This window comes from Homo sapiens, chromosome 9, assembly GCF_000001405.40.
Source record: "Homo sapiens chromosome 9, GRCh38.p14 Primary Assembly".
Taxonomy (NCBI): domain Eukaryota; kingdom Metazoa; phylum Chordata; class Mammalia; order Primates; family Hominidae; genus Homo; species Homo sapiens.
In genome coordinates, this window is record NC_000009.12 from 30,727,612 (window position 1) to 30,747,166 (window position 19,555).

Here is a 19,555-nt window from a genome sequence, read left to right on the forward strand (position 1 = left end):
ATGTTTTTCTTTTTTCAGTGAGCCTGTCATTTTGTTAAATTATCTATTTTAAAATCAAATTTCTCCATACTTTCTGTTTTTTAACGTGTACATACAGTTCTTCTTGTTATTTCACATCTGGAGCATATGTGGTTTTGTATACCATTTTCTCTCTTAAATATGAAACACTTTTTTCTGTTTCCATATGTGTCTCATATTAGTCAGTAAAAGCAGGGCATTGTGTTTTTAAAAATAAAAAAGAAGACATATAAATATAATTTTCCACAGATGGGCATGCTCTTCCTGTCAACCACTGAGACTGAAAAGCCGATCACTTTGATCCAACCAGAGGTAAAGCAAAATCAGGGCTGGATTACATATTTTGTCAATTTCAATTATTTTTTTAATTTCACATGGTTTATGTGTTGAATCAATCCTGTCAAGCCTATTATGGCTCCTCTTCTATAAGGACTTTTGATACTAAGTAACTTGACTATGCAATCTCTCTCTCTATATCCCATCCAAGCTTCCAGTCATGCAAACACTATTCATCACAGCTCTGAACTTACCAATAACCCATCAAATGAAAATTAGATGACAGAGAGAATTACCTGTATGTTGGAGTTGCCTACAGATTCTAATTTATTATGCCATTCTTCATAGCTCTTATCAGCTCTCCTAAATTTTTCTCACCCTAAAAATGTTTACTTATTGTCATATTTGATCAAGACAACCAGGGAAGAAAGTAACCTGCAATCCGTCCTCACCTAGGGAAAACTTCTCTCTCTTTCTTAGTGTCTTCAATGTTTTTAAGATCTCCATGATATTGAAAATACATTGCTTTTTGATTTCTAAATTGTTATAGCATGTGATAGTGTGAACTTATCTTCTATATTCTACTTGAAAGATATATATCTGGATTGTTTTAAAAGTACTCTACCCAAGAAACCTAGGTCATCTAATTAGAAAGAGCCTGGAGATGTACCTCTATTAGAGTGACTTGTTGCTCTGAATTCTTCAACCCTCATAATATATTCACATCTATTGTCTTGGCCTTATCTAGGGCATGAATGATTCCAATCTCCATCTTTTGACTTTCTGCTAAACTTTGCTGTAGAGTTTGGCCAATGGCATGTGGCAGAAGCAACAGTGTGTCAGTTCTAAATCTTACCTTTCAGAGGCCTCCTCACATATCTCTTCTCACCTTTATGCTCCTTTCTCGTCCCATTTAGCCCACTAGTCCAATAGCAGGGGAACAATATGTATGGCGAAATGCCCTCACCAATCTATAGATATGTACTTATAGGCAGAGCCACCCTACCCACTGGAACTTCAGGAAGAGGTACCCAGTCAAATTAAACCAATATCAGCTGAATTACAACCTACCCACAGACTGTAAGCAATAATAAATAATAAATAATTGTAAATTTAAGCCACTGTGATTATGAGTTGTTTCTTATATATACTGGGTTTTAGAATAGGTGTCAATATTAATATTCTGGATGCAAAATCTATACATGTGTCATAAGGTATGTTAGCACACATATGTACTGCCCAGGTCAAGAGAGGTACAGTCAGAAGACTAGCCAGGAAAATGTCCATGAACACATGAAGGAAAGATATTTTAGACATCTGTCACAACCAAAGGGAGGTATGAACAATCGTATTTGTAAAGGTAATATCTTTCATTTCCCTTACTTCTGCCTCTCCCCAGGTCAGTCTGGGGAAATATAGATGTTGTCTAGGAAAAGAAAGGGCATACTATTAATAATCTATTTTATAGTTTTAATTTTTATACTGAATTGATATATTAATTATAATTTTGACATGAACAAAGATGACATATTATCTAAGCTTGAACTCACAATTATGGAATCTGCCCCCCCGACAAATTATGGAACTCAGTGGCTAAAAATAAATAGCCCCTACAGAGGGAGTTTGAACAGGCAGTGTGAGAAAGAAAAATCATTACTGATTGGATTCAAAGGGTGCCTCTGCAAACTCATCAATCATGTTACCATACTTCAATTTCATTCAAACTATAATTCATAAATAACTAAAATGTTTAATCAATAGTTTGTGAATAATAAAATATCTTCATATGTTTAAAAATAACAAGGGATTCTACTTTTCTTATAGAATCAATTAACTGTGAAAACAAAGCAAATGAATAGTCAAACATGTAGGAAGTGATAGCTTTCTTTTTAAAAATTATAGAATGTTGTGAACACTTTCATTTTATTTCCTTCTGTAAATTTCATTGATATGATCAACAAAAATATAAGATAGAAGCTATAGCAATGATTAAAAAAAATCTTGGGTGTCATATGATTAATTTATATACCAACTTGGTAAGCCACAATATTAAAATATTTGGTCAAATACCAGTAGAGATGTCACTAGAAGGGGTGTGTGAATGTGTGTGTGTGTTTAGATGCAATTAAAATTTAAATCAGCAAACTTTGAGAATAGCAGATTATCGTATGTAATGTGGGTGGACTAAATCCAATTAGTTGAATGCCTTAAGAAACAAAAACAAAGTAAAACTGAGGTCTTATGTGTAAGAAGGAATTCTGTCTCCATACTTCCATCAGACCAAACCTGCAACATCAGCTGTTCCTTAGGTCCCCAGCTTCCTGGTCCACTTGGCAGAATTCTGACTTGTCAGACATGATAATCTGATTTCCACTCCAAACCCCAAGAAAATCTTTAGCCTTTGTCAGCACAGGAAAAGGAAAAGGAGGGCAAGAACACCCAGTGCACCTGACTGCTACATGGGAATGATGTTCAATCTCATCAACAAACACATATTAAAGTTTTATCTCATTGGGAACAAAAATGAGCATTATTATTGATTATTAAAAATCATTATTAATGATTATTAATCATTGCCAAGGCTGTTCTTATATGAGTGCTATTATATATTATTGATATATTTGTATCTTAACTTATACAAATGAATATTGGAAAAAATTAAATATATTTAAAATTAATATTAAATCTTGAAGTCACATTCAAGATAATACGATCATGCTTTCAGTAAAACATATCTTTTTATGGAAAAATTAAGATTTAGTAGAAACATAGTGAAATTTACATAGGCTTGAAGCTAGGATTGTTTATTTTACTGAAAGTAGATTATGACTATAAACAGGATATTATTTTATAGAATACATTTCAGAGAAAACTTGTATACATTACAGCTTGACTTAATATCCTGCATGGTCTTAGGACTCTATCAAGTTACCTTGAGTTTCTTTGTTGCTCTAGAAACTGGATCAGTATTTTCTCCTCGAAGGAACACTGCTATCCTTTAGCAGTAGTGAATCCAGAATGAATGATGAGAATAAAATAGTGAGTCAATATAGAAAACACTTAATATAAGTTCTTGATGTTTCAAGGAGGCAAAAATCCCACATGCCTTATATTATTGCACTAAGGAGCTGGATTTTTTTGAGAAAATAATTTGAACACTTCAGTTTTGTGGAATTAATTATATCAAATTAAAGAGACACAGACCTTTTCTCTGTATGTTTATTCACTGCCAGGGAAAAAGTGAAATAGAGGCATTATTGAAATGACAAAAACAAGAACCTCATTTGATCAATTCCCAACACACACACATCCTTTCTTCACTGAGAAGAAAAGGTGTGTCTGCTTACATCTAACGTAAAATATTGCTATTCTGTATCTAAACCTAAAACTTGTCAATAAGGCAATGTTATTATGGCACTTTCAATATATAAGCATACATGAAGGTCATAAATTGAACAGAATAATTATCAATAGTCCAATTAGTGATTTAATAGTTTTTTTTGTTTTATTGAACTTGAGAATTTAATTCAGTTTATTATATGGTGGAGAGTACATAGACCAAATCTGAAAACACACTGGGAATTATCAATTTTGGTTTTTACTCAACTTTTTGAAGATGGGAAAAAGTTTAGTTCCAGACAAGTTGTTTTGGTGAAGAGTGTGGAGTGAGAGGAGAATTAGTCACTCTGCTACATTTAAATTTATTTGCCCAAAGTGGGAGAGGACAGCAGTTTCAAAAGGTGTTTAAGGTAACAAATTAATAATAAAATGAGATTTAAAAGATGATGAACATCATGGAAACATGAACGTGAGGCACATGAGGAAGTCGATCAAAAGACAGTACATTTGCACTCCATCCCCCACCACTCAGTGTTTCAATTCATGCTGCTAGCCAGGTCCTCCTTCTAGGTTATCTGTTTCATGTCTCTCTGATATTAAAGCTTAAGTGTCTGCTCACACATCTCTGTTTCTTCTGTGCCCATTTAATGAGTAATAACTCTATTTTTAATTTCAGCAATTTAATCTTTAAACATTAAAAGTTAAAAAGAAAGATGCAAAACATGATGATCAGGGAAATTCATATTAATTAAAAAGTGTAGGGGTGGAAAAGGGACTCTGAATCTGGAAAATGAGTTGGCAGAAATACTTAGCCAGAAAAGTAGGGACACCATTACTCCATTCCTGCCAAGTCCTAGTTCATATATAATTCACGCATATGGTTAGGTGTTGAAATGGGAGAGTTCCTTGATTCCTCTCATAAGATGTGCAACAGGTGTGACCTACTTGGTTCCCTAGTGGCTCAAACTCCTAGCCAGGAGCCGGCAGACAGGCAGGTGCAGAGGCTGCCATGAGCGCTTTGGGGCTCTGGCCCCACAGCAGCATCTAGGGGTGGGTGTGTGCTACTCCGGAAGCTCAAGTAGGTGTGTGTTACCAAACTGTCAGATTTGCTGTCTGCAGACAGCGTGTGTGTTAATCAGCTCAGTAGACCCTCTGCCTTATTGCAAAGGCAGGGGGCCAGTATGACAGCCTTCTGTAAACCTAGACCTTGCCCAGTGTACCGGAAGAGTTAGATCACACGTGAGCTGGAAGGATGAGTGCAAGTTTTTATTGTAATGGAGGTGACTCTCAGTGAAATGAATGGGGAGCTGGGAGTGGGGAATGGAGTGGGAAGGTGGTAATCTGCTGGAGTCCGGCGGCCCAGCGGCTGGACTTTTCCCCTACCTAGCCTGGCTGAACTCATCTCATCCAGATGTCCCTTCTCTTCTCTGTTTCTCTGCAGCATTGTTCCACTGTCACTGGTCAGCTGGTCCCAATGTTCAGCTGCTTGTGTGTGTGCCCGCTAAGCTCTCAGTTTTTATTTTATTTTATGATTTTATTTTTTTAATTAATTAATTAATTATTTTCAGGTGGATTCTCGCTTTGTCACCAGGCTGGAGTGCAGTGGCGCGATCTCGGCTCACTGCAACCTCCGCCTCCTGGGTTCAAGTGATTCTCCTGCCTCAGGCTCCCGAGTAGCTGGGATTACAGGCATGCGCCACCACGCTCAGCTAATTTTTGTATTTTTAGTAGAGATGGGGTTTCACCATGTTGGTCAGGATTATCTTGATCTCTTGACCTCGTGATCTGCCCGCCCCGGCCTCCCAAAGTGCTGGGATTACAGGCGTGAGCCACCGCACCCGGCCAGGTCTCAGGTTTATATGGGGGCAGGATAGGTGATGTGGTGGGGCAAAAGGCAACTTTTTGGGCTTGAAAACAGAAATACCCGTCCTCATTTAGGGTCACAGGTCTTCAGGCTTGAGGGAGGAGCCTTTGCCGGGGAACCGCCCTCTTCTGCCCAGTATTTCCCTGTCTCCTGTCCCTATCAGTGTCATACGAAATGTTTATCCCTGCTTTGGGTGGACATTTTGTGCCTTGACTACAGTCATTCTTTCTTTGGTAATTCCAATTTTTCTTTATGGCACTACCAAGCCTCCACTCCTTTCTTCTAATTTCCTACATTCATTGATACAGGCATAGCGTTCTGTATTAATGCTGACCTCTATTGACCACATGTAGCTAAAATTATAATCTAATATCATTTGTGACTCAAGTGTTTTGAGTGGAATTGACTCTATCCCGCAGCTACAGAAGTGGATACCAATACCCTTCTTGGCTATCACAGACATTCAGAGATTTATAAGCCCTTGCTCGCTTTTATTGGTTGAGGGATAATTACTTGACCCAAGATAAATGAAAAGGACTTCATAAAAGAATTTGGCTGGAATCATTGTGACAGAAAATCTTTATTTCCTTTGGAACTGGTAACTATAAAAGTAATATATATTTGGAGTTGCTGAGGGCTATTGGGTAAAAAAACTTACATGACAATGAATCCATTCAGAGGAATTATGAAGCAGGAGATGTGTGAGAGATTCAACTGATGGTGTTATTTGGGCCTCTGGTTTAACCCAGATGAAAATGCCAAACTGAACATGAAACTTTATGTTTCATAAGGCTATAATATCACATTTTTCCTTAAACCAGTTTGAGTTGATTTTCCATCATAAGGAAGCCAAGGAATCATAAATATTGTATGAAATAATTACAGATGATATTAAATTATCAACATTATCTCATGATAGAAATGTATTTGGGTAGTCATTGTATTTAAATCTTCCTTTTTCAGTGTTTAACATGATTGAAATAATGTTAAGTGAGGCTCCATTGCAGTAAAATTAATTATTCCAATCTACTTGGTAACCAATAAAAATTTAAAATATTTTAGAAAGCACTAGTAAGTAAAATAAGTATTATTTAGTTAAAAATATGTCTACATTGCATAGCACTCACATGAATTTTTTTTGAATAGAAGAAAACCAAGATATAATATCAGTTATTTGATTAAGGGTCAATTATTTGATCAATTTTTTTGAAAAAAATTAAATACTCCAGTTTTATGTATCGGTATCTATCAAAAATAAAAGTTTATAATTATTACTTTGTGTTCAAGTAACATGGAAAGTTCAATTTATTACTGATATGCTTATATAAATGTAATATCATATGTTTTGAAAATCCAAATAAGAAAATCACGGGAAAAGGAAAATTTAAATACAGTCTATCCAAATACATTTATTCTGTTTTATTTGTAAACTTATAAGTAAATATTTAATAGTGAAAAATAGGTTCTAGGGATTTAAGAGAATAACCATTCTAATTAAGAACGATGTACTTTAATGCTATGGTATACTTAACAACTGACCTCATAAACTCTAACTTTAAAAACTTGTATAAACATGTTACAGACCAGTTTTATTATGTTCTCAACATGTACTTTGAAGCTAATAAAACTGTAATTTAGAAAATAATTTTACTTGTAGTTTAAACTCTGAATAAAGTGCTATATTTACTTTGTTACTGTCTGCCAATCTGCAAGACGATCATGGCAAAATTTAACTCTAAGATATAGATGCTTTTTAATATCTAAACATTATTTTGTTAACTCTTAAAAATACCTAATGTAATTTTCTCTTGACAAATAACTATACTCCTTATATTCTGATTAAAATTTTGTAATTCAGGCCTCGCTTATGTTACCTTATACCATAATGAGTTGAATCATTTTCCAATTAACATTTTAAAAAATTATTTAGTTAACATAAACTGATTTGGAGCCATTAAGATTGAGTGGCTCCTAATTATTATTTTATGAATTGTATGAAATAGCTATTTTGTTATTTTAATACAGCTTGGCAGAATTCGATGCCTTCTTCTTTATTTCTGTGAGTTTCTTAATGCAGGGTTCTTGTGTTTTCCTTTGTGTCTCTCCATCCTCAAGCAGAGTGCCTGACATATACAAGAGTTCAATACATATATTAAATGAATAAATGAATACTTAGTATATCATACTTTTATGAGTTTTTATTATACATTATTTCTGTGTGTTTGTTAGAAATTATTAAGGGCCTTATAACAAAAATGTCATCAGCCAGACAAGTTACTCTCTGATGAATGACTAACAGATCAATATTCCTTTGTGTGTGTGGTGTTATTTACATTATTATATTGAAAGCTGCTTTCCATTTATATGAAAGTACAAATATCTGGGGGGGTGGAACACTCAAAAATCATAACAGTGATAAAAGGTATCTCATTTCACTGAGAAGGAGAAGGATTAGAATTGAAATTAACCCAGGGCTACATGCTAACATAAGTAGAACGAATCAAAGCTATAGAAAAGTCCGAAGTTTATCTTTCTGAGAAGAACAAAATAACTAAGAAAAAATACGTTTACATATAGATAGATGAAGAACCTTATGTATATTTATTCAATGCCAAATTACTAAGTGTAAAGCTAAAACATAGCATTATTGAAATTCTTTCTCTCTCTCTTAAGTTATTGGAATTAAAAGGACACTAGACTAGATTGGTATTTAAAATAACCAGCTACAATTGTGTTTCTGCACATTACAAGATATGTAAACTTGGGAAATACTAAAACTCAGAAAGGCTCATTCACTCTTTTGTAAATTAAGAAGCAGCACAAACAGCAAAAATGGCACAAATATTATCTGACTTGCCTAAGTTAAATACGGGGGTGTAAAGGACTAATTTCCATAACTGGATAGTCAGATATTCTATGGAATATATTTTTTACCTGATTTAATTTAGTAGGAATGAATAACTTGTAAGATACCAATCACTGTTTTCATTTTACTAATGAGTTTATATTCAATAACACACTTCACTTACTACAAATTCATTACAAATAATTATTAATATTATACATACAGACTCACCACACATTCTTTGTTGAGTAAGATAGGAGAATAGAAATTACATCTAAAATGTTCATGTCAACAGTTGTAACTTTGGTCCTAGCAGATTTGTTCATTAAGCATATCATATGCTTAAATATGGCTATATTTACGAGTCTTCCAAGAGAGATGGTTGAGCTCTGTGAAGAAGTTACCATACCACAAGATATAAAGAATTTATAATTGATATAATGTTTGATATGAAAGTTAGATTTTTTTGTTTAATTTCATTTTGCTTATCCTGGCTGCCAAAAGTAACAAGATTTTTCTTTATTATGCATAAGTAAACTAATGATTCTATTGAGCAATGAATCAATGAAGATATTGAATAAATAGATCAATGGATCTCATCCTTCATTGTATATGTACAAAATATCATACTTCAGGTTTTCACAAATAAGGAAAAAATGCTTTTCAAGAGTATCATCCTAAAGATCATGCCCCTAAATAAGACACCATTAAAGTCATGAAAAATTACTTTTCGCATTCTGTGTATATACCAGAACTGCAAATTAATAACATTTTAGTGTTTCATGAGTCATTATTTTTCTTCATACTTCCTCTTGCTGTTTACTCTCAATATAGCAATTGCAATCATCTACTCTAATGAAATTTAAACTGCTAGAATATTACAATCTGTGTGTATGTGTATATGTAAACATATGTGTTTGTTTTATTATCGATACTTGATTTTATGCATATTTATGGGGTACATGTGATACTTTGTTACAAGCATAGAATGTGTAATGAATCAATCAGTCAGGGTATTTAAGATATCCATCATCTTAACATGTATCATTTTATGTGTTAGGAAGATTTGAATATCTTTATTCTAGCTATATACAAATATACAATATATTACTGTTAACTATACTCATCCTAACCTCTTATCAAATATTAACACTTAATTCTTTCTAGCTAGCTGTATGTTTGCATGTATTAACCAGTCTTTCTTCACCCTTCCCCCAACTCACCCCAACTCACTAGAGCCTTCCTAGTCTCTAGTAACTATCATCCTACTTTTTACTTTCATGAGGTTAGATTTTTTAACTCCTGCATGTTACTGAGAAATTGTGGTATTTGTCTTTATGGATTTGGTTTACTTCATTTAACATAAGGACCTCCAGCTCCATCTATATTGCTGCAAGTGACAGGATTTGATTTTTTTGTGGCTAAGTAGTATTCAATTGTGTAAATATCCCACATTTTCATTATCCACTCATCCAGTGTACGACACTTATTCTGGTTCTATATCCTTGCTATTGTGAATAGTCCTGCAATAAACATGTAGGTGCAGGTATCTCTTTGACATACTTATTTTTTCTTTTGAATAAAGAGCCAGTAGTGGGATTGCTGGAACATATGGCAGTTCTATTTTTAGTTTTTTGAAAAACCATCTATACTATTTTTCATAATGGCTCTACCGATTTACATTCCCACCAGGAGTGTAAAAAAGTTCCCTCTTCACAGACTTGCCAGCATCTGTTAATTTTTTTTTTTGTCTTTTTAAATAATAGTCATTCTAACTGGAGTAAGATGATAGCTCATGGAGTGGAGCATTTATTTATATTTCGGCTGGCCATTTTTATATCTTCTTTTGATAAATGGCTTTTAGACCCTTTTCCCAATTTTTGTTATTATTTCTTTTCATGCTATTTCATCAAATTCCTTGTATATTCTGGATATTAGACAGATGTGAAATTAATAGCTAACAAATTTTTTCTCCTGTTTACCAGGTTCTCTCTTCACTCTGCTAATTGTTCCTTTTACTGTGTAGATTCTTTTAGTTAAATATAATTCATTTTTGAAAATTTTTTCTTTTGTTGCTTATGTTTTTGAAGTCTTAGCTATACAATCTTTGCCTAGAAGAATGCCCTGGAGTGCTTTCCTGTATTCTTTTCTAGTTGTTTTATAGTTTGGGGTCTTAAATTTAAGTATTTAATCCACTTTGAGTTGATTTTTAATATATATATATATACAATGAGAGACAAGGGTCTATTATCATACTTTTGCATGTGAATATCCAGTTTTTTCATTATTATTATTGAATAGGGAGTCCGTTCTTCAATGTATATTCTTGGTGCCAAGTCAAAAATCAGTTGACTATAAAAATGTGGATTTATTTCTGGGTTCTCTATTCTGTTCCATTGGTTTATGTATCTATTTTTATGCCAATACCATCCTATTTTGATTAGTATAGCTTTGTCAAATATTTTGAAGTCAGATAATATGATGCCTTCAGCTTTTTTTTTTATTGCATTGACTATTCAGGTTATTTTTTGGTTCCATACAAATTTTCGAATTGTTTTTCCTATTTCTGTGAAAAAATGTCATTAGTATTTTGATAAGGGATTGCATTGAATCTGTATATTGCTTTGAAATGATATTAATTCTTCCAGTCCATGAACTTGTGCTGTCTTTCCATTTGTTTGTGCCCTTGTTAACTTCTTTCATCAGTAGTAGCTGTCTTTGTAAAGTTCTTCCATCTCTTTGGTCATATTTACTCCATGGGTTTTTTTTTTTTTTTTTTTGCAGATATGTAAATATTCTTGATTTATTTTTTAGCTAGTTCATTATTGTTGTATAGGAACGATGCAGGTGAACCCCAAAATTGGGACCCGACTCTGGAGAGATTTTGGCTTCACTCAGGAAAGAGTTCAAGAGCAAGCTGGCAGTGAAAGAAAGCAATTTTTTTTTTTTTGAGTAAAATTGTACAGCAATATGGCTGCTCCTTAGACACAACAGGGCTATCCCATAGGGAGAGTAGTTCCTGTGGTGCTGAGCTATCCCAGAGGAAGCCCTTGTGGATTGCCAACTAGCTATATTTATACCTAATCCTAATGATATGCTAAAAAAAAAGGTGGGGGAGGCAAATTATTTACAAACTTTCTGGAAACGGGGAAGGGAGTTCCTGGAACCAAATAAAGTAAATTCCAGATTGCTGCCATGGCATTTCTAAACTGTCATGACACTGGTTGGAGTGTCTCATGTAAATGCATTAATTCCTAGCCCTAACTGGTTTTGGCTGGTTTCTTTGCTACATCTTGTTTAGATCAGCAGCGTGGTGGAAACAAGTCTTGCTGACCTCCTATCTCAGAAACACTATTGATCTTTTTATGATGATTTTGTATCCTGCAACTGCTAAATTGTTTATGAGATCTAAGAGGTTTATGTGGAGTCTTTAGGTTTTTCTAAATATAACATCATGTCATCTGCAAAGAGGAACAATTTGGCTTCTTCTTTTCCAATCTGTAGGCCTTTTAATTTTTCTCTTGCCTGATTGTCCTAACTAGGGCTTCCACTACTACACTGAGCAGGAATTTGAAAGTGGAAATCTTTATCTTGTTCTAGATGTTAGATTAAAGGCTTTTAGCTTTTCCCTGCTCAATATGTTATTAGCTGTGGGTTTGTCATATATGATCTTTATTATATCTAGGTATGTTCCTTCTGTGTCTAGCTTATTGTGAGTTTTTATCATGAAGGGATGTTGAATTTTTCAAATGCTTTTCAGATATCTGTTGAGATGATCACATTGTTTTTGTCCTTTGTTCTGTTGCTACAATGTGTCATGTTTATTCAATTGCTTATGTTGAACTATCCTTGCATCCCTGGAAGAAATTCCACTTAATTATGGGGGAGTATCTTTTGGATATATTGTTGGATTCTATTAGCTAGAATTATGTTGAGAATTTTTGTATCTATGCTTATAGAATTATTGACTTATAGTTTATTGTTGTTGCTGTTGTTGCATCTTTTCTGGGTTTGGTGTCAACATAATGCTGGCCTTATAGAATGAGTTAGGGAGAATTTCCTCCTCTTCAATATTTTAATAATTTGAGGAGATTGATGTTAGTTTTATGTATGTGTGTATATATATAGATAAATATAAATATATACATAAATATATATTATATCACAAGTAAATATATATGTTTATATAGTAAGTCAATATATAAATATATATACTTATATATAAATATAAAACTTATCTATATAAATATATATGTATATAAAATATGATTTGGCTGTGTCGCCACCCAAATTTCATCTTGAATTGTAGCTCTTATAATTCCCACATGTTGTGGGAGGGAACCAGTGGGAGATAATTGAATCATGGCGGTGGTTTCCTCCATACTGTTCTAATGGTAGTGAATAAGTCTCAGGAGATCTGATGATTTTATAAGGGGTTTCCCCTTTCACTTGGCTCTCATTCTCTTCTGTCTGCTGCCATGTAAGATGTGCCTTTTGCCTTCCACCATGATTACGAGGCCTCCCCAGCCACGTGGAACTGTGAGTCCATTAAACCTCTTTTTCTTTATAAATTACCAAGTCTCACATATGTCTTTATCAGCAGTATGAAAACAAATACAATATATAAACATATATATATATATATATATATATGTTTGAGGTATATATATATACCTCACAATATATATTGTTGTATACAAATGTTTTATAGAAATTGTGTAGAAATGATGCAGGTGAACCCCCAAGTTGGGGCTCAGCTCTGGAGAGATTTTGGCTTCACTCAGGAAAGAATTCAAGAATAGCCAACATTGAAAGATTCATGTGTGTGTGTATATATATATATATATATATATATATATATATAAAAAATCAGACTGACAGGAGGAAAAGCAGCAAAGTATCTGAGTTTGGGGCCTTGTGCCCAGTCATGCTTGTTTAGGCCCTTGTCCCTGTCTGCTTCCCTGGGTCATGCATGATCATGTACATATATATATATATGATATATAAACATATATGTGTCTAAATATATATAAATATTTATATATAAAAACATATATATTTCTATAAACATTTACATAAGCTTAAAGATATACGTATAAGTTCGGTAGAATTCAGCAGTGAAGCCATCTGATTTTGGCTTTTGTTTATTGGAAGACTTTTACTATTAATTAAATCTTGTTATTTATTACTAGTCCATGGAAGTTTTCTATTTATCTTGATTCAGTCTCGGTAGTTGTATATTTCCTGAAATTTCTCCATTTCTTCTAGGTTTTTTAGGTTGTTACTGTTCATTATATTCTCTGATGATATTTTGGAGTTTTGTGGAATCAGTTGTAATGTCTCCTTTTTCATTTTTAATTGTGTATATTTGGATTATCTCTCTTTCTTTTTGGTTAGTTAAGCCAGTCATTTATCAATGTTGTTTGTATTTTTAAAAAAGCAACTTTTTGTTTCACTGATCCTTGGTATTGTTCTTTCAGTCTCTCTTTCATTACATTCAGTCACTATTTCCACGTTTTTCTTTTGTCTGTCTACTAATTTTGGGATTAGTTTGTTCTTGTTTTCTAATTGCTTGAGGTTCATTTAGTTGCTTTCTTGAAGCCTTGCTACTTTTTTGTTGTAGGCATTTGTTGCTATAAGTTTCCTTCTCAGAACTGCTTTTGCTATATATTATAGATTTTGGTATGCTGTGTTTCCACTTTAATTTTTTTAAAAATAATTTTTATTTTTTTCTCAATTTCTTCATTGAACAAAATATTATTCAGGGGCATGTTGTTTAATTTCCATATGTATGTACGGTTTCAAAATCTCCTCTGGCTATTGATTTTTAATTTTATTCCATTGCATTCTGAGAATATATTTGATATGGTTTTGATTTTTAAAAATGTGTTGAGATTTGTTTTGTGTTTTTACCTATGGTCTATTTTGGAGAATTTTTCATAGGCTGATGAGAAGAATGTGTATTCTGCAGCTGCTGGATAGAATGTTCTGTTAATGTCTGTTAGGTTCATTTGGTCTAAAGTTCAGTTTACATCTAAGGTTTCTTTTTTTGATTTTCGGTCAAGATGATCTATCTAAAGCTAAGAGTGGGTGTAAAATCCCCAACAATTATTTTATGAGAGTCATCACTACCTTTAGATCTAATCGTATTTGCTTTATATATCTGGGCACTATGGTATTGGGAGCATATATATTTAGAATTGCCATATCCTCTTGCTGAGTTAATCCCTTTATTTAATGACCTTCTTTGTGTCTTTTTACTGTTTTTGACTTAAAATATATTTTATCTGAAATAAGCATAACTACTCCTGCTCACTGTGCCTTCTATTTACATGGGATTTTTTTACCCTTTTTTTAAATGTCTATATGTCTTTACAGTTGAAACTATTTTCTTGTAGGCAGAATTTTGATGATGTTTTATTAATTCATTGAGTCTAACTCTTTTAAGTAGAAAATTTAATTTATTGACATTGAATATAGTTATTGATATATGAAGACTTATTCTTGCCATTTTGTTAATTGTTTTTCTGGTTGTTTTGTATATCTTTTATTCCTTTCTCTCTCATTGTTTATTGTTGTGTTATGGTGGTTTTCTGCAGTGGTAATATTTGAGTCCTTTTTCTTCCTCATTTGTGTGTTTGCTCTACCAATGAGTTTTATATTTTCACTTGTTTTTATCACGGTAGATAGCATTCTTTTGCTTCTAGCTGTAAAACTCCCTTAAACATTTCTTGTAGGGTAGGTCTAGTGGTGATGATAACTTTATTGGGGAAAGTATTTTTAGCTGATAGTTTTCTTAGTTTTTGTTTTTTTGTTTGTTTTTCTCTCAGTACTTTGAATATATCATCCCATTCTCTCCTGGCCTGTAAGGTTTCTACTGAGAATTGTTTTGTTATTCTGATAAGGTTTCCCTTATATGTGGCTTAGACACTTTTGCTGTTTTTAGATTTCTCTCTTTATTTTTGCCATATGACAGGTTGACTATAACGTGCCTTGGAAAAGAATTTTGTGATTTGTGTCTTGGTATATCTGACCTCCAGTATCTGGATATCTAAACCTCTTGTTAGGCAAAATAGTTGACATGTTTCTAGCTATTATTTTGTTAAATAGGTTTTTTAGCCATTTATCTTCTCTTTACCTTCTGGAAAAGACAAAATTCAGATTTTTGGTCACTTTATTATGTCATATATATCACATAAGCTTTTAAAAATTATGATTTGTCTTATTTTGTTTTCTCTTACAGCATTATTTCAAAAGAAACATTTTCAAGTCCTGATATTTTTTCTTCTGCTTGACCTAGTTTATTGTTGAAGATCTTGTTTTTTTGTTTTTGTTTTTGTTTTTTGTTTTCATCCATGGAATTCTGCAAATCCAAGATTTCTACTTGGTTCTTTTTAATGATATCTACCTATTTGACAAGTTTCTTATCCATATCCTGAGTTGTTTACTTACCTTTTTTTTGTATTATTCGTCTGTGTTCTCTTCTATCTCACTGAGCTTACTTAACATCATAAGTTTGAATTTGCTATCAGGCATTTCATAATTTTTTAAATTGAAATCTTTTGCTGGAAAATTATTGTCTTCCTCATGAGGTATTAAATTTTCTTGTTTGTCATGTTTCTTGTGTCTCTATGGTCATAAATGACACATAAATGACACTTTATGGAGATATGGTCATATCTCCCATCGGGTGACAGTCACTTCTTCCACTTTTTTTTAAATAGCTTTCATCGGGGAAGACCTTCTACTGAAGATGTATTTATGGAGTAGTTTGGGTAGGGTACTTTAGCTTTGATTTTGGGTACATGCAGTAGTGTAGCTTTCACATTGTTTTTTTTTTTTTTTAAACTGTAAAGAGTCAGTGGTGTCTGTGATTTACTTAGTGGCTGATGCTGTGTTTGTTAGTGGAAACTGTGGTGAGGGTTTGCTGAGGAGAGGGGCAAATGGGTGATCTTCAGGCCCTTGGTGACATTTTGAGTGGTGGTGACAGTGTCATCAGTGGTGGACAGGAAAGGCCTATCTCAGGGTGCATTCAAGTCCTTTGAAACCCTGGAGTTGGTTGCAGCAGCACCAGGAAGGCAACTCTCAGACTTTGGGAAGCATGAGTTTCGGCCTCCACCATTGGTGGCAGTGGTAGTGGCAGCAATAACAGTCATAGTGGAAGCAGTTGGAGGAACCCGTTTTCAGAGCATGTGAGAGTGTGTAGAATCCGTGCTGCTGGTGTGGAGGTTTGCTACCAATAACAACAGCCCAGGGTAGGCAGCTGTTAGGCTCTGAGGAATGTGTATTTTATGCCCCAGCAGAAGGTCAGAAGAGCCTGTCCTCAGGTTTGGGAAAATGTGTGGTGGTCCTGCTGCTGGGAGGTAGAGTAGCTGTCAGTGGCAGCTTCCCCAAAGAGGTGGCTCTCAAGCTTTGAGAAGAATGTGCTTGAGCCCTGGAAGCAATGGTTGTGGTGGCAGTAAGCACAGAACGTTATAAGTTTTGTAAAAATTTATTAATACTAAAATTGAATGATTCTCAAGCTTTATTGTTAAATGAAAAAGTAAGCTCTAGAAAGATATATTCTGTAATGTTTGTTTCTTTTATATATTCCAATTAGTAGCAACAACAAAAAGAAAGAGCCATGGCTCATTAAGGAATGAAAATTCATGTAGGCCATTTTGGGAAAGAATGTTTTTATGGAGAACAAAAGTGAATTTAATGGTTAAAATGTGCTTTGGGAATATCAGTCATCCATGTGTAGACAATGATGAATGAACGTTGGCTTACTCAATAGCCTTTCACACTTCCTCTCTGTTGCTTTCCCTCATTATTGTTTGGAAGTAAAATAGTTCTATTATAAGCTTCTTATAAAGCTGTAGTTAACTGTGTCTCATAGATGACATAGTTCTGTACATTGAGACATACATTAAATTATGTGGTGAAGGTTTCTTCTCTCAAATGAAACCTTACAAAAAAAAAGCTCCTTTCTTATTTTCTTGCCTGGAATGTTAGTATTATGCCTGCAGATGCAGTAACACCCCTATGACCATAAGGATGAAGAAAATTGGATCCTTGATCTGGGCAATCCCTGGGAGAGCATTCACAACGTACTCTGTGTAAACTGTTCTGTTTCCTTCACGTTCTGCAACAGGTTTGACCCTGAATAAAAGCCAAGTGCTAATGTCCCTAGTGTAGAAAGATTGTAACAGCCAGGGTTTTTATTGTATCTAAGAACTCTATTGGATCAGATTTGAATAGTATCCCTGAAGATCTCTTTTGTTACATTAAAAATATACTTTTTTCCTGGTTTAAGTCATTTGTATTGACATATTTTGTTACCTTTAAATAAACATAGACCTAACTTACCCAACATGCTACTTGTTTGTTTTTTTAAGGTTTACCTAACAGAAAGTTTTAAAGCTGATAAATATCCAGATCATATAGTAATAATTGTAGTAACAATATATAATGGTAGAAGCACCATATAAATTAATTTGTAATCTATAATATTTTAGACAGTTTGATTACCTGACATCATTTACCTAAAATTATATTTGAACTCTATGAGCACAAATAAATTAATATTGCCATCTCACAAAAGACATTATGTTAAAGAATATGTTCATATGACAATTATGTTTTCTCAAATAAGAAAAGGAGAAGAATATAAAATGAGAAGAAGGAACAAAAAATAAAATAGTTTTTTACATTTATTTAAGGTATAAACACTGGTATCTCTTTCCATTTCCCTCATTCACTTAAAAAATGTATTGAAAACAAGCTAGATGGATCAATATTTATGTATAAATTTTATCATTTTTTTTCTCATTGAGCAAAAGTCCTTAAATGAAACTTTAGTTTTGTTACACAACCTTTAATTTCATTTGGGTTACAAAAATCTGTAGCATTCACAGATGCATATAAAATAATTTCCTTTAAAAAATAGAATTAAATGTATTGAATTTATGTAATAAGAATGTGTCCATTATGTAAAATTTAGAAAATAAAGAGTGGAGAACAATAACATATTTTGGTTACCTCATCACACAGAAGACTTTAAAAAATTTGACTTTGTATCCTCCAGATTCATAGATAGATAAGTAGATAAAGAATTGATTGCTTTCTCTGTATCTCTAGTTCTCTCCCATTCCTTACAAAAAATATAAAAGGGATTATACTATTAACTATATTATACTTTGAAATGTTCTTTGTAAAATTACTATATTGTGAACCAATTCATAGTGATTAAAGAATATCAGCATAATGATGGTTTCTGTTTTAATGTATTTATCAAGCTGGAGGATATTTAAATTATTTTCTGTCATTTCTTTTTAAAATAAGACTATGATAAAAAATATTTCTACAAAGTACCATTATGAAATTGCCCTTTAAATTAGTTGTACCACTAGGCTTATGAAAGTAATTGTTTCTCCACATTGGCATTAACACCATGTATTATCTTTTTCTCTTTTTTATTTTACTTAAAATTTTAATTCCTTTTTATAATCTAATTTGAATGCTTTCATAAGCTGCTTGCCTATATCTTTGTGTCATGTTTCAATATAGTTGTCCTAATTAATATTTTAAATTATTTCATAAACTAAATATTATCTATTACAGATGATGTAGTGAATTTATTTCACACTTGTAATCCATCATTTTCATTTGATTCTAATTTTATTATAGTTGTAATTGGTAGTGATGTTATTCTTTTTTTTTGTCTTTGTGAGTTAAATTTACTTTTGTGTTCAGGAAGCTAGAAAGATGACTTTAATTTTCTGTCCAATTCCAAATTTTTCTAATATTCTAAGATGCAATATTTATAAATAATACATTTTTATGTATTACTGAGTCAGCACAATATTTATAAACTTAAAATGAAATTACAGTAAATTTTACTGTTTGATAAGACAAAATTTTTTCTCATTACTCTTCTTTTTTGGAATATTTATAGTTATTCTGAGTTTTTTAATCCATTTAGATAATGTTAGAATCATTCATTATTTTTAGAATTGTGTTTGGATTTTTGCTATACTATCCATCCAGCTGGATTGAATTTACATTTTGTAATGCAACTTCTCATATAGGAACATTTTATGTATTTTCATTTATTCAAGATATCTTTTGAACTTGTATGTCAAGTTTCATTATAGTCATAAGCCTTAAACATTCTCTAATTTTTTGTTATGTATCTTAATTTTTCATTATTATATTGAATGAAATTTGTCATC